Genomic DNA, 14,625 nt, shown 5'->3' with positions numbered 1-14,625 from the left:
CTACCATCAATCTCTAGAACTTTTTCATCTTGTAAAACTGAAACTATGTACCCATCAAACATTAACTCCCATTCTCCCAGCCTCCAGCAACCACCATTCTACTTTCTATAATTTTGACTACTCTAAATACTTTATATAAGTGAAATCATACAGTATTTGTCTTTTGTGATTGATTAACTTTTTAAATATAACCCTCATCTCACATACATATGTAATATATGTATGTATATATAAACATATGTGTATATGTATATATTATTGTTGTTTAATTCTTATTTGAAAAATAGAATTATGATACATATATACCTCCCAAATATAATATTTTACATAAAGAACAAAGACTTTGATAGAAAAGGGTAATTTCAATTTCTTTTTGTTTTTACTTTTATTTTAGGTTCAGGGGTACATGTGCAGGTTTGTTATATAGGTAAACTCGTGTCATGAGGGTTTGTCATACAGATTATTTTGTCACCCAGGTACTAAGCCTGGTATTCAATAGTTATTTTTTTCTGACCCTTTCCCTCCTTTCACCTGGCTTTTTTCACTTAGCATAATGTCCTCAAGTTTAATCCACATTGTATCATATATCAGAATTTACTTCTTTTAAGCTGAATAATATCCCATTATATGTATATACTGCATTTTGCTTGTCAATTTTTTCTGGCAATGGACACTTGGGTTGCTTTCATGTTTTAGCTATTGTGAATGATGCTGCTATGAACATGGGTGTACAAATATCTATGTGAGACCCTGCTTGAAATTCTTTAGGGTTTTATAGTGTTATTCAGTTTCCTATTTCCTTGATGATCTACTAATTGTTTTATCCACTATTAAAAGTGGAATATTGAAGTCTCTGATGATTATTGTTGAGTTAGTTCTCCCTTTAATTCTATCAGTTTTTGCTTCATGTATTTTGAGACTCTATTGTTAGGTGCATACATGTTTACAATTGATATATCTTCCTGAATAATTGGCCGTTTTATTGTTACAAAATGTCCTTCTTTGTCTCTAATGACCTTTTTTTTTTTAACTTAGTCCATTTTTTTTCTGATATTGGAATAGCCACTCTATCTTTCTTTTGGATACTGTGATAGTTATATCATAGTTTCTATACATTCTGCCAATCTCTAAAATTTAATTGGAGAGTAATCTATTTACATTTAATCTAGTTATTGATAAGGTAGGATCTATGTCTGCCATTTTAATATTTGTTTTCTGAATTTTCCATGTTCCTCTATTTCTCAATTACTGCCTTTTATGTTAGACTTTTCCTAATGTATCACTTAATTCTCTTTTTGTTTCTTGTAGAGTCAGTCTATTAGCAATAAACTTATTTTTTGTTTATGTGGAAATATCTTACTTTCTCCTTCATTTTAAAAGGATAATTTTGTTGGATACATAATTCTTGATTGACATTTTCTTTTCTTTCAGCACTTTGAATATGTCAACTCATTGCCTTCTGACTTCCATTGTTTCTGATGAGAAATCCATTGTTTTTCTTATTACAGATCCCTTGTATATGATGATTTGCTTTTCTCTCTGATTTCAAGATTCTCTCATAGTCTTTTATCTTTTGACAGTTTATTATGTGTCTACATGTTGATCTCTTTGAATTTATCCTACTTGGAGTATTTTGAGCTTCTTGAATATATAGATTCATGCATTTCATCAAATTTGGGAAATTTTTGGCCATTACTTTTTCAACTTTTCCTTCTATTCCTCTATTACTCCTTCTCTAGGACTCCTATAATGCATGTTGGTCCACCTGGTGGTGTTTCTTAGGCTCTCTTCACTTTTCTTCATTCTTTTTGTTGTTGTTTCTCATACTATGTAGTCTGAATCTGTATTCATGCCCATCAGTTCTTCTGCCTGCTCAAATCTACTAATTAACACCTCTAGTACATGTTTAATTTCAGTTATTGTAATTCTTAACCAAATAATTTATTTGGGGTTCCAATTAATAGTTTTTATCTCATTGATATTTTCTATTTGGTGGGACATCATTCTCATCCTGTCTTTTAGATCCTTTTTATAAGCAGAAAAAAAATTTGTTTCTACCAAATCAAAAAGTATGAATAAATCTTCAAGCAAGATAATCAAAATGATCAATAATACAATTAATAGGATAACATATACAGATCACACTGCAGGTTTAGATACTTTGCATTAAAGCACATATACCGAAATGAAGAGAGCCAGCAACTGTTGCACTGAGGAAAAGTACTCTGCCTTATGGTACATGCATGACCTCTGGGAAACTTTAGCTGACATTTTACAGGACAGTAATCAAAGAGACAGGTCATCATTGAGTTATAGAGCTGATCTGAGCTTGACAGGGATCACAGTGAAATGCCATTGTAACTCAACAATTTCCCCAGAGATCCATTTATCTCAAAAACAGGAATATACAAAAATCAGTAGTACAAATTCTCATAAAACTAGAAAAGCCCTCTAAGCCCTACTATCCTTGGAGTTTACATAAAGACTGAGTATTCATTTTTCTTCCCTTTACTCTTCTCTAAATACAAAATAGTTTATTTTTATTTGGTACACTTTTAACTTTATAGCAAAGCCTTAAAATGAAGAATGGCTTAATAAAATGAATTATACACCAACCAAACCTAAGGAGAATCTCCAACATGGTCTGCTCCTTTGAAAAGTTTTAAACAGGAAATCTTTTATTTAAAGAATGACATTGTGCTTCCTGGAATAACCTAATTATTACCAGAGGAAGGAATTCATATCTATGCCATATAAGAACTTTCACTTTTTTTTTTTTTTTTTTTGAGATGCAGTTTTGCTCTTGTTGCCCAGGCTGGAGTGCAATGGCACGATCTTGGCTCACCGCAACCTCTGCCTCCTGGGTTCAAGCGATTCTCCTGTCTCAGCCCCCCGAGTAGATGGGATTACAGGCATGCACCACCACGCCCAGCTGATTTTGTATTTTTAGTAGAGATGGGATTTCTCCATGTTGGTCAGGCTGGTCTTGAACTCCCGACCTCAGGTGATCTGCCCGCCTCAGCCTCCCAAAGTGCTGGGATTACAGGCGTGAGCCACCACGCCCAGCCAAGAACTTTCACTTGTTGGGAAATGTTTTACTAAATCTTTTTCAAAACACACACACACACACACACACACACACACACACACAAAATGATCAAATTTAGGTATACAGATAATGGCAAGGGTAATGGCATTGTGTGGCAGAGACACAACACAATGGACATTGAAAGGGAAGGCGAGGAACATGAGCTTGCCTCCTCCACAGATGAGCCTGGACCCAAGCCCAGCTGACTTTACAGCCTTTTATTTCTATTATAAATGGGGACTTAGGGAGGAGGATTAAGGGCTGAGACTCTCCACTAGTGCTTCCTTTGCTTAAGCCAAGGAAACAACAACAACAACAGTGTCACACTGAGGTGAACATCACTTTGGTGATCTCTGCTATTCTTGATGTGAGGTCACAAGCAGAACCAAGCCGACTGAGAACTCCGGGTTGTTTGGGACAGGACACAAGTAGTTAACATCCTCCTGGATGTTCAGTCTTCTGAGTTGGGAAAGCCTGGGCTGGAGTCCCAGCTCCACTGTTCACTGGCAGCAGAAGCCTGGCCAAGATGCTTCACATCCCCAACCTTTCCTTCTTTGTTTATAAGTGTGGAATCATGCCTCTCTCATAGAATGCTAGGAAGATTAAATGAGATGTTTTTAAAGGTCCTAAAACTACACATTTTACTCATTTGGCCTTCAGTAATTGGTACCTATCATAAGTTTGCGTCAGTGTTGCAGGGTGTTAAATAGCAGCATTTCCAGGTTCTAAATAAGTGGAAGCCTGTTAGGATAATGGAAGCAAACTGAATTAAGAGCTGGGTAGAATGGCAGAATGTGAGATCAGGTCGAAATCTTAGAGACTATCGAAACCACTCTCTTTGCTTAAAGGTGAAAGTACTGCACATGGGGCCGTAGAAGGAAAACCAAGAAAAGATGTCCCTTTAATTTTACTTTTTGTCAGAATATTTTTAAGATTACTAATTTTTACAAAATCTTTTTTGTAAAAAGGGAAAACTAGAGAGTTTGTTGAAGAAAACCAGGACGGGGATTTTTTAAGCCACTGACCATGAAATAAGCATCATCTTTCAAAGACCATGGAAAAGGGCCAGGCGTGGTGGCTCACACCTGTAATCCCAGAACTTTGGGAGGCCTAGGCAGGTGGATCACCTGAGGTCAGGAGTTCAAGACCAGCTTGGCCAACATGGCAAAACCCCATCTCTACTAAAAATACAAAAGTTAGCAGGGTGTGGTGGTGCACGCCTGTAATCCCAACTACTTGGGAGGCTGAGGCAGGAGAATTGCTTGAACCTGGGAGGTGGAGCTTGCAGTGAGCCGAGATCGTGCAACTGCACTCCAGTCTGGATGACAGAGCAAGACTCTGTCTAAAAAAAAAAAAATAAAAGACCATGGAAAAGGTGTTTGTCTCCTATTGGTCTCACCTAGCAAAGGACCCTCAACTGCTGAGCAATCTCAGCAAAAGCAAATGCTGTTGAGACTTATTGAGTGATTCACTGATGGGTAGAATTGTCTATCTGGAAGGAAAGGATGGAGGGGGAATAAAGTATGGAATCAGGGATCAGCCCATTTCTTATACCTCACCCAAACTCCAAAGGCAAAGATCACATTGGAGCGTCTGCTAAACCCAAAAAGAAGAAAGAAGTTTGAATATTTTTCTGCTTCTGAAAAAGTACACACTTTCCTCTTTTGACTTATCCACATAATAACTTCAGCTCTACTTTTCCTAGTTTGCAGAAATCACTTACATGGCAATACTACTCTAAATTGTGCGATTTTCCTCATATCAGACTTGTTTTTCTCTATACCTGGTTCCCCAGGAAACCTGAACTTTATCTACCTGTCTGATATGCACTCTATCTCCATCAGCTGGCATTCAATGGCAGCTCTAAATTCTGAAGTGTTCAGAGTCAATGCAATGCACTGATGTTTCATTGACCTGAACGGGGCACTTTCATCCCGTAAACGTAAAAAGTAAACAATCTTATTTTGTTGTAATTGAGAGGATAAGGAGGAGACAGATCTATATTTCCACTAAGGTAGCCGAAGAACACTCACATGAAAGGACAAAGGGAGAGGAACCGGCAAGAGTCTGGGCAGTATTTATAAGGAAGACACACTCGTTATGGAACAGGATATATGTGGCAGTGAATTGACGGGGGACTCGCTGGGACATCTTCAGAAAGTAAATCATGGGTTTCAGCATCGCTAACGGGATGAAATAGGCTTTCTTTTTCTCACCAGTGTGGAAGATTAGAAGTCACTCCTAGAAATAGAAAAGGACATTCTCTGAGGATAGTCATGATGTATGATTTTTAAGGCAGGAATAAATTCCATTGTTCTTCCCAGAAGACAGCAAGAATTATTCAAGGTGGCCACCAAGTCAGGAAACCAGGCAAATCTTTTAAATGGTTTACTAATATTGCATTACAATGAATGACAAAACATTAGTATCTAATTCTAGACTTTATGGCCACCTCATAGAATGAATCTTTGGAATAGAAAATAATTTTGTTTTCCCTTAATCATGAAGCTGTTACACTCAGTCGAGAAACAGCTAGTGCAACATTTGTTCAACCTCAAAGTCTCCATTCCCTTTACTAACTATTTATAATATTCTTGGGTCACTCACAGGAGAAAAGCACTATCAGCATTGAGAGATAGCAGCATTTTCAAAATGCGCTTTGTTGTCTTAAACAAAATGCTTAACTATGCTACTAGTCCAGTAATTCCATATGGTCTTATCACTTTTATTCATAAGACATAATCTGGCCGGGCGCAGCGGCTCACGCCTGTAATCCCAGCTCTTTGGGAGGCCGAGGCGGGTGGATCGCCTGAGGTCAGGAGCTCAAGACCAGCCTGGCCAACGTAGTGAAACCTTGTCTGTACTAAAAATACAAAAAATTAGCTGGGCATGGTGGTGGGCACCTGTAATCCCAGCTACTAAGGAGGCTGAGGCAGGAGAATCGCTTGAACCTATAAGGCGGAGGTTGCAGTGAGCCGAGATCACGCCATTGTACTCCAGCCTGGGCAACAAGAGCAAAACTCTGTCTCAAAAAAAAAAAAAAAAAGATATAATCTTTCAACATTTATGTAGGTGAATACTTCTTATGTTTTTTGAGAAGTCCCAAAAGACTTTGAGAGTTCCCAAAAGACTTTTTAGGAGTTTAATTTTTTCACAATAAAAGAAAGGAGCAGTGTCAATCTATGAAAGTCAGACCAGCCGTTTAAAGAAGACCCCCTTCATAGCTGAGTTACTGGTGCATGAAGAGATTCAACACAGTCAATACAGTCCCTTTGCTCTCAGTTATTAGAAAGAAGGATTTGAGAGAGATAAGAGCATTAACTATCCACATTATTTGATAGCTTATATTTAATAGCCTAAGAAGAGAGAAAACAGATGTCGAAAAATACAGTCTAAAAAAAAGGGCCGGGAGCAGTGGCTCACATCTGTAATCCAAGCACTGTGGGAGGCCAAGGGGGTGGATCACCTGAGGTGAGGAGTTCAAGACCAGCCTGGCCAACATGGTCAGGCTCTACTAAAAATACAAAAATTAGCTGGGTGTGGTGGCAGGCACCTGTAATCCTGGCTATTTGGGAGGCTGAGGCAGGAGAATTGCTTGAACCCAGGAGGCAGAGGTGGCAGTGAGCCGAGATCGTGCCATTGCACTCCAGCCTGGGTAACAGAGTAAGACTCCGTCTCAAAATAAATAAATAAATAAATAAATAAATAAATAATAAATTAAAATTAAAATGAAAAAAATAGAAGTCAAATCCTTTCATCCCAGGATGTCTGAAAAGGAGAGAATCTGTGAAGCATGGATGCAGAAAAGGAGTTATACCTACCAGAAAAAATGAATTGTGGACACAGTCACTCAAGACCAGGGAAACAATTACCTGATTCCTCAAGGGTTACCTATTCACTTTATTCATCATTGTTATTTTTGCCAGTGTTTTCATATGTATTCAGTGACCTGGAAAACTTTTTGGTGGACTTTTATTTATTTTTAAAGAAAAAGATTGTTAATTGATTAGTATAAATAAATGCTATTTGTTTTCTCTGCCATCATTTAGACAAGGCTTATCCCAACCTCAGCTCTATTGACATTTTGGGCCCACAAATTCTTCACTTGAGGGGCCTTGTATTGTGCATTGTAGGGCGTTTAGCAGCATCCTGGGTCTCTACCATGACAATAGAAACCCCTTACCCTCCCGAAGTTTTGACAAAAATGTCTCCATACTTTGCCAAAAGTCCACTAAAGGCTGAAATTGCCCCTGGTTGAGAATCACTGGTGTAGACCTATTTCCCAAAAACCCTCTTCCCCAAGTAGGAGGGCTGACTGTGAGGCCGGTGTAAGTGGGTGGGCTGTGACAACCATCACACATCACTATTGAAAGTGATTCCATATCATTCCTCTGGGATGCCTCATTGTCCCTTCAGTTATTTCCTTCCAAGTTTGATGGCATACTTAAGAATTTTGTCCATTCACAATATTTTCCTCATAGTGCTCACATAGGGTGGAAATGGCCTTGGAAGTAGGAGCCAAAAAATTCCTGGAATCTTCTGTCCCTCTGTGACCATTATGTACATATTTTAACTAAGATGTTTAAATGATACTGATAAATATATATATTTTTTCAATTTTGCTTAATTTTATTAGATGTAGAGAAAGAGGATGTGTAAATTCTGCCATCTTATCCTAGAAATACCCTTTATCCACAGAATAAAGTTCAAATTTCTTATTCTGATATGTAATACTCTTCATAGATTGGTACTTGTTTTCTTTTTTCAACCTCAGTGTTCAGAACTTACCCACACATATCCAAAAAGTGTCCATACTCTTTGAAGCATGCAATTTGTATTCATCAAAGATGGCTCATTCTATCCCCTAGAAGCATCCACTGCTGTTGACATCTCACTGCTTGGGTCTCTTGCCAGGAAATTTACTAGGAGACACCAACATATACTGTTAGATAATAGCAATTATCATTATCTAATAGCAGTCTTATAGAAAGCTCTGTAATAGTAATCTCATAGAAAGCAGATGATATTCCAGTGAGCAGCAGGTGAAGGTAGCATAAGCAAGTGTTCCTTTGGAGCTGTAGGTGTCTTAATCTCTTAACATTTTAAGAAACAGAACAAATAGCTGTCATAATCATGACACTTCCAGGACATCCTTCGTTATCAGATTTTAATTAATAATTAGTTCCAGAATATTTTGGTTCTCATATTTTCCTACAATTATATTATTAGAATAGCCATTCAAATAACTTCCCATCCTCTGGCTTTATTCCAGTAAATCCATTTTTCCATAGCTCCAGAGTGACCTCTCTAAAATGTGTCTATTTGAAGCTTTAAGTGGTTTCCCAATGCCTATTAGTTAAAAAGAAAACTAACATGGCTGGTAAGATCTCTCACCATCTGTCTTGTCACTTGGCGCTCTAGCTGAATGTAATGTCACTATTATCTTGTACAAGTCAGCAGCATAGCACTGCATGGTTTCCATTACCCTTCGAGACAAACCTGCAGCAGGGAAGTGGCAAGAGGCGGCCTCAATTCTGATTGAGGACTGAATACAATTTTTATTCTAATAAGACTAATATTAATCATGTTCTCCTATTTTTACTTTTTTTCAGCTATTTTCTCTACATGATTTATTATATCTTTATTTCAACAAGTCCTACAGAACACATGGAGTTCACAAACTTGTATGGAAACTGGAGTCTTAAATGTTTGGGGGAATTCAAAAAAAGAGCAAAGAAACTTCATGCTATGCTGCATTTACAGAAAGAACTGTCTGGGGCAATTTCATTTAATTTTCTCGGAAAAGTTTTATTGAAAATGCCTATAATTATTGTATATCATTTATATACAATGATATAAATTAAAAACTCAGGAATATTGGGTAGAAATAAATCTTCAAGGGTGCCAGTCCAGAATATTAACTTTTAGTTATTAACTTGAACATTAGTTATTAACTTGAGTTAATATAGATCATTCGTAAGTGAGATTGTCTCTTAGGAATCATATTCATGGTGCTTAGTCTCCAGAGCAGCTCACAGGTGTCTCCTTACTGCCTTACTCATAGTGTTCCAGAATGTTCTTCCATGAGGTACATGTATTCTGTGTTCCAGGCTCCTTGGATGCAAGAGCACAAACACCTCAGTGTGAAGGTTTCCTCTGGAGAAGGAGGTAGGAGTTTTTTCAGCTGTGATTCAGTAGCAGTGACAAGGGTTCACTCGGGGTTCCTGACAGTAACTTGGGGCAAGGGTTCTGGCATCGTGTGTCCTGGCCTCCTTCCTGTAAAGTTCAGGGCTTGTCCTTCCAGGGTACACTTCTAGAGGCATATCTCATTGACCTCTCAGACTTCCCTTTAGCAGAAATCTACTTACTACCTTTAGTAGCTGCTAAGAACCTACCCTTCCAGAATTTAAGTTAGGGAGTACTATAAAGTGGGCAACCTAACTTACCTTTTGCAAAGGATAAATATAGCTTGTAACAACACTTTAAAAGTCTTTCATTTTCGCTCTCTTTGAAATGCAGTATTTGTCATTAACTGAAGGCCCATATGTATAGGAGTCTATCTTAATTATTATGGCTTACAGTACAACTCTGAAATCTTTTAAAGGAAGTCTCCTATTCTTTTTTCTTTTTATGTCCCTTTTTTTTTTCAAGTTCATGTTGGATGGGTAATGTGACGACATCATAACAAGGTTCAAGGGTGGCACATCTCACACATGCGTGTGAACACCCCATCGTCACGCGAACTACAAAAGGATCTCCCATTGTTCTTTAACAAAATTTTATTTGCTCTTCTCAGAAATTTTATCTTGTAAATGAACTTTAGTATCCAAATCCACTAAAAATCTCAAGTGGAAAAAAGTTATTGCATTTATAGATCAATATGCATGTAAGAAAAAGGAGGAATTAACATCTTTAAAGTGTTGAATCTTTTATAGAAATCATGTTTGCATTTTTTAAATTATATGTGCTTTTAGAAATATTCTCAGTAAAGTTTTATAATTTTCTTCTTGTAAATCCTAGATATTTTTTCATAGGTTACTTGCTAGCTACTTAAAGTGTTTCCTGATGTCTAAATGACGTATTTTTAATGATGTTGTGTCACTGGCATTTGCAGATATGTAAGAATGTTTTCTTTCTTATATGGTTTTCTTACCAAAACTCTCTTTTTAAAAATGACTATTTTTAGAGCAGTTTTTCAATTTACAGAAAATTTGGGCAAAAAAGGAATTCCCATAACCCCTTCTTCCTTCAGTACAGTTTCTCCTTTTATTAACATTTTATATTAATGTGGAACATTTGTTACAATTGATGAACCACTATTGAAACCTTATTAACTAAAGTTCATAGTTTACATTAGTGTTCTTTCTTTGTGTTGTAAAGTTCTGTTTTTTGTTTGTTTTGTTTTTGAGACAGTCTCACTTTGTCACCCAGGCTGGAGTGAAGGGATGCAATTACAGCTCACTGCAGCCTCAGCCTTCCAGGCTCAAGGGGTCCTCCCGCCTCAGCCTCCTGAGTAGTTGGGACTCCAGGCATGCACCACCACACCTGGCTAATTTTTGTATTTTTTTATAGAGTTGGGTTGCCCATGCTGGTCTCAAACTCCCAGGCTCAATCAATACCACCCCTTGGCCTCCCAAAATGCTGGGATTACAGGAGTGAGCCATCACGCCAGGGAACGATCCACGGGTTTTGACAAACACGTAATGTCACGTACCTGCCATTGCAGTACCATCCAGAAGAGTTTTGCTGCCTTGAAAATCCCATATGCTCCTCCTATTCATCCTTCCCTTCCTCCTCCTGAGTCTCTGGCAACCACTGATCATTTATTGTCTCTACAGTTTTGCCTTTCCCAGAATGCTGTATAGTTGGAATCATAATGTATGCACCCTTTTCAGATTGGCATCTTTCACTTAGGTTTTCAGTTTCTTTCATCGCATATTTTGGAAGATAACATTTGCAATTGCTGAGGGTTTTGTTTTATTTATAACTTTATATAACTTCATTATAACATAATTGTAAACCTTATTTCTTTGTTCTAATGGACTGAGTTGGGACCATAATAGTGGACATCTTCTGAAGAATTTTTAATTTTCTCATTTATTCTAGCATTTCACTATCCAACAAAATGTTTATTCCAGGATTTTGGTTGATTTCATTAATCAGGTAAATATCTTCTCTCTTCCAGTATTTCTAAAATTTCTCTGCTCAGGTGTGGCATTATTTTGTAAGGGATAATTTTACACTATCTATTAAAATGTTATTTTCTTTTTAAAAGTCAATTCCTTTAGGAAACTACAGTGATAGGTTTTTCTAATGTTGAACTGTCCTTAAACTTCTTGGTAAACCCTAATTGGCTGTGTCAGTCTTTTTACATTGCAGGATTTGTTTCTCTGCTATTTTAGTATATTTATCGTTATGCTAATAAGTAGGATTTAGTTGTTTAGTTGTTTTAGTTGTTCTTGTTGTTTTTAACTAAACAAATGCTTTGCTAACTTTCCACCTTTTCATCTATTTCTGGACCCATTGATTAAACATTGGGATTATAGAGCAAATTAATTTTGGTAAAAATTTTAATAACACCTCAAATATGGTGTCTTTGAGATAATTTTTTGTCTAACTTTTCAATTGTTGTGATTTTGGTTTCTTTTTATTTTTTAACTTGCTTTGTTTAAATTTTGATCAGCTATATTTTCCTAAACATCTATTTTATCTAGATTTTCAAATCTAGAAATATTTGTGTATTTGTGTTTGTGTATGTATATACAATTTTGTAAACATGGAACATATGTTTTTTAAATCTTTTGCAGTGTAATATTTATTTTTCCTGAAATTAATGACTTTTAACTTAATCTGAACTACAAATGATTGTCTGCCTCAGCAATATTGTGGATATTACTGATAAGGCCTACATTTTTATTATACCAATTTGTGTAATACTTTGTCTTTTTTCTTAGGTTTATTTGGCTGATTTTTTTCTAGGTTCTTGATTTGCACACATACTTTTAAAATTTTAGCCTTTCTTGTTCCCATTTAAGGCTAAGAATTATTTTTTGAGGACACTTGGCTAAGAAGTATTTTCAATTTATAGTGTTACCAATATCTTTAATTTTGAAATCTAATTTCAGATGTGACATTATTAACCCAAGAGATCATGAGAAATTATTAAATTTGTGTGCAGGCAACAAAAACAAAAATAGACAAATGGAACTTAATTAAACTAAAAAGCTTCTGCACACCAAAAAAAAAAAAAAAAAAAAAAAAAAAATCAACAGAATAAAATGACAACCTGCAGAATGGGAGAAAATATGTGCAAATTATATATACAACAGGGGATGAATATCCAAACTATATATCCAACAGGGGATGAATATCCAGAATTTATAAGGAACTCAGACTACTAACAACAGCAAAAATAATCTCATCAAAAACTGGGCTAAGGGTATCTATAGACACTTTTCAAAAGATGGCAAACAGGCCAGGCACAGTGGCTCAGGCCCATAATCCCAGCACTTTGGGAGGCTGAGGCAGGCGGATCACCTGAGGTCAGGAATTGGAGACCAGCCTGGCCAACGTATAGTGAAACCTCGTCTCTACTAAAAAAATACAAAAATTAGCTGGGCATGGTGGCGCAGGCCTGTAGTCCCAGCTACTTGGGAAACAGAGGCAGGAGAATAGCTTGAACCCGGGAGGTGGAGGCTGCAGTGAGCCGAGATCGCACCACTCTACTCCAGCCTAGGCAACAGAGCGAGACTCCATCTCTCAAAAAAGAAAAAATAAATAAAAATAGAGCTACCATATGATCCAGCTGGGTATCTACTCAAAGGAAAAATAATTAAATCAAAAAGATACCTGCACATAGATGTTTATTACAGCACTATTCACAATAGCAAAGATATGGAATCAACCTAAGTTTCCATCAACCCATGATTGGATAAGAATATGTGGTATATATATATGAATACTCTTCAGCCATAAAAAAGAATGAAATCATGTCTTTTGCAGCAACATAGATGAAACTGGAGGCTATTTTCTTTTCTTTTCTTTTTTTTTTTTTTTGAGACGGAGTCTCGCTCTGCCGCCCAGGCTGGAGTGCAGGGGCGCGATCTCGGCTCACTGCAAGCCCCGCCTCCCGGGTTCACGCCATTCTCCTGGCTCAGCCCCCGGAGTAGCTGGGACTAGAGGCTCCCGCCAACACGCCTGGCTAATTTTTTTGGTATTTTTGGTAGAGACGGGGTTTCACCATGTTAGCCAGGATGGTCTTGATCTGCTGACCTCGTGATCCGCCCGCCTGGGCCTCCCAAAGTGTTGGGATTACAGGCGTGAGCCACCACGCCTGGCCTGGAGGCTATTTTCTTAAGTGAAAGAATTCAGACACAGAAAGACAAATACCACATGTTCTCACTTCTAAGTGGGTGTTGAATAATGTGTACACATGGAAGTAGAGTGTGGAATGATAGACAATGGAGACTTAGGTTGGTGGGGTGGTGAGAAGAGGGTTGGCTGAGGACAATGAGAAAGCACTTAATGGTACAATGTACATTACTCCAGTGATGGATACACTAAAAACACTGACTGCTCTATACAATTTATCTATAACCAAATTATACTTGTACCCCATACATTTATACAAATAAAAAATAAATTTAAAAATTTGTGTATGGATAGATTTTTTTCTTACTGATACTGATTTCCAATTTATTAGTTTTCTCAGTGAATATGGCAGAAACCATTTGTTTTAGAAAATCTGAAGCAGAAATGTGGACTTATAAATTTTCTTGAGTACAGAAGGCAGGAGAGCCTTGATATTTACACTAACTTAAATACAGGGAGCTTTACCACATACTGTTAAAATATCTAGACACTGCCAAGCGTGGTGGCTTACACCTGTAATGCAGGTACTTTGGGAGGCCAAGGCAGGTAGATCACCTGTTTGAGACTAACCTGGCCAACATGGTGAAACCCTGTCTCTACTAAAAATACAAACATTAGCTGGGTGTGGTGGCAGGCGCCCATAGTCCCAGCTACTCGGGAGGCTGAGAAAGGAGAGTTGCTTGAACCCGGTAGGTGGAGGTTGCAGTGAGTTGAGATCATGCCACTGTACTCCAGCTTCGTGACAGAGCAAGACTCCATCTAAAAAAAAAAAAAAGATGGGGTCTCTCTTTGTTACCCAGGCTAGTCTTCAACTCTAGGTCTCAAGGGATCCTCCTGCCTCAGCTTCCCAGAGTGCTGGGATTACAGGAGTGAGCCACTGCGCCTGGCTTGTGTATTATCTTTTTCTCTGTTGAAAACAATTGAAAGGCCATTGCTAACATTTTAGGATTTACCAAATGTGTGTAAGTTTTATTTTACATTGATAATTTTAGACCTCAAATACTTTTGTGGCACCAAAAAAAAAGTAAATGCACAGCTCTAGATTGTTTTGTTTTGGTTCTGTTATTCGATCGCCCTGTTTATAAGATTTAGATGGCTACATTTTTTTTAATTGAGGTAAAATTCATATAGAATTTATCATTTGAAAGTATACAAGTCAGTGGCTT

At 37.3% G+C, this 14,625-nt stretch overlaps 1 long non-coding RNA gene and 1 other non-coding gene across 3 annotated transcripts in view; one reads left to right on the top strand and one right to left on the bottom strand.

Moving 5' to 3' along the window:
• Positions 1-14,625, top strand: part of ZNF133-AS1 (ZNF133 antisense RNA 1) — a 47,923-nt gene that overhangs the window by 2,543 nt on the left and 30,755 nt on the right. The window contains exons 2-3 of one of the 2 annotated variants that reach the window (NR_187570.1): positions 9,199-9,256; positions 11,195-11,251. The exons of the other annotated variant lie outside the window; for it this stretch is intronic. This is a non-coding gene — a long non-coding RNA (ZNF133 antisense RNA 1). The remainder of the gene's footprint in view (positions 1-9,198; positions 9,257-11,194; positions 11,252-14,625) is intronic. 2 annotated transcript variants of the gene reach the window in all.
• LOC124904978 (small nucleolar RNA U13) lies at positions 9,744-9,843 on the bottom strand. Its single transcript, XR_007067769.1, has one exon. It is a non-coding gene; the product is annotated as a small nucleolar RNA U13 (small nucleolar RNA).

The sequence above is a fragment of the Homo sapiens genome, chromosome 20 (genome assembly GCF_000001405.40).
Source record: "Homo sapiens chromosome 20, GRCh38.p14 Primary Assembly".
NCBI lineage: Eukaryota > Metazoa > Chordata > Mammalia > Primates > Hominidae > Homo > Homo sapiens.
Note: the sequence above shows the minus strand (reverse complement) of the source record. Positions and strands in the feature narration are given on the sequence as shown.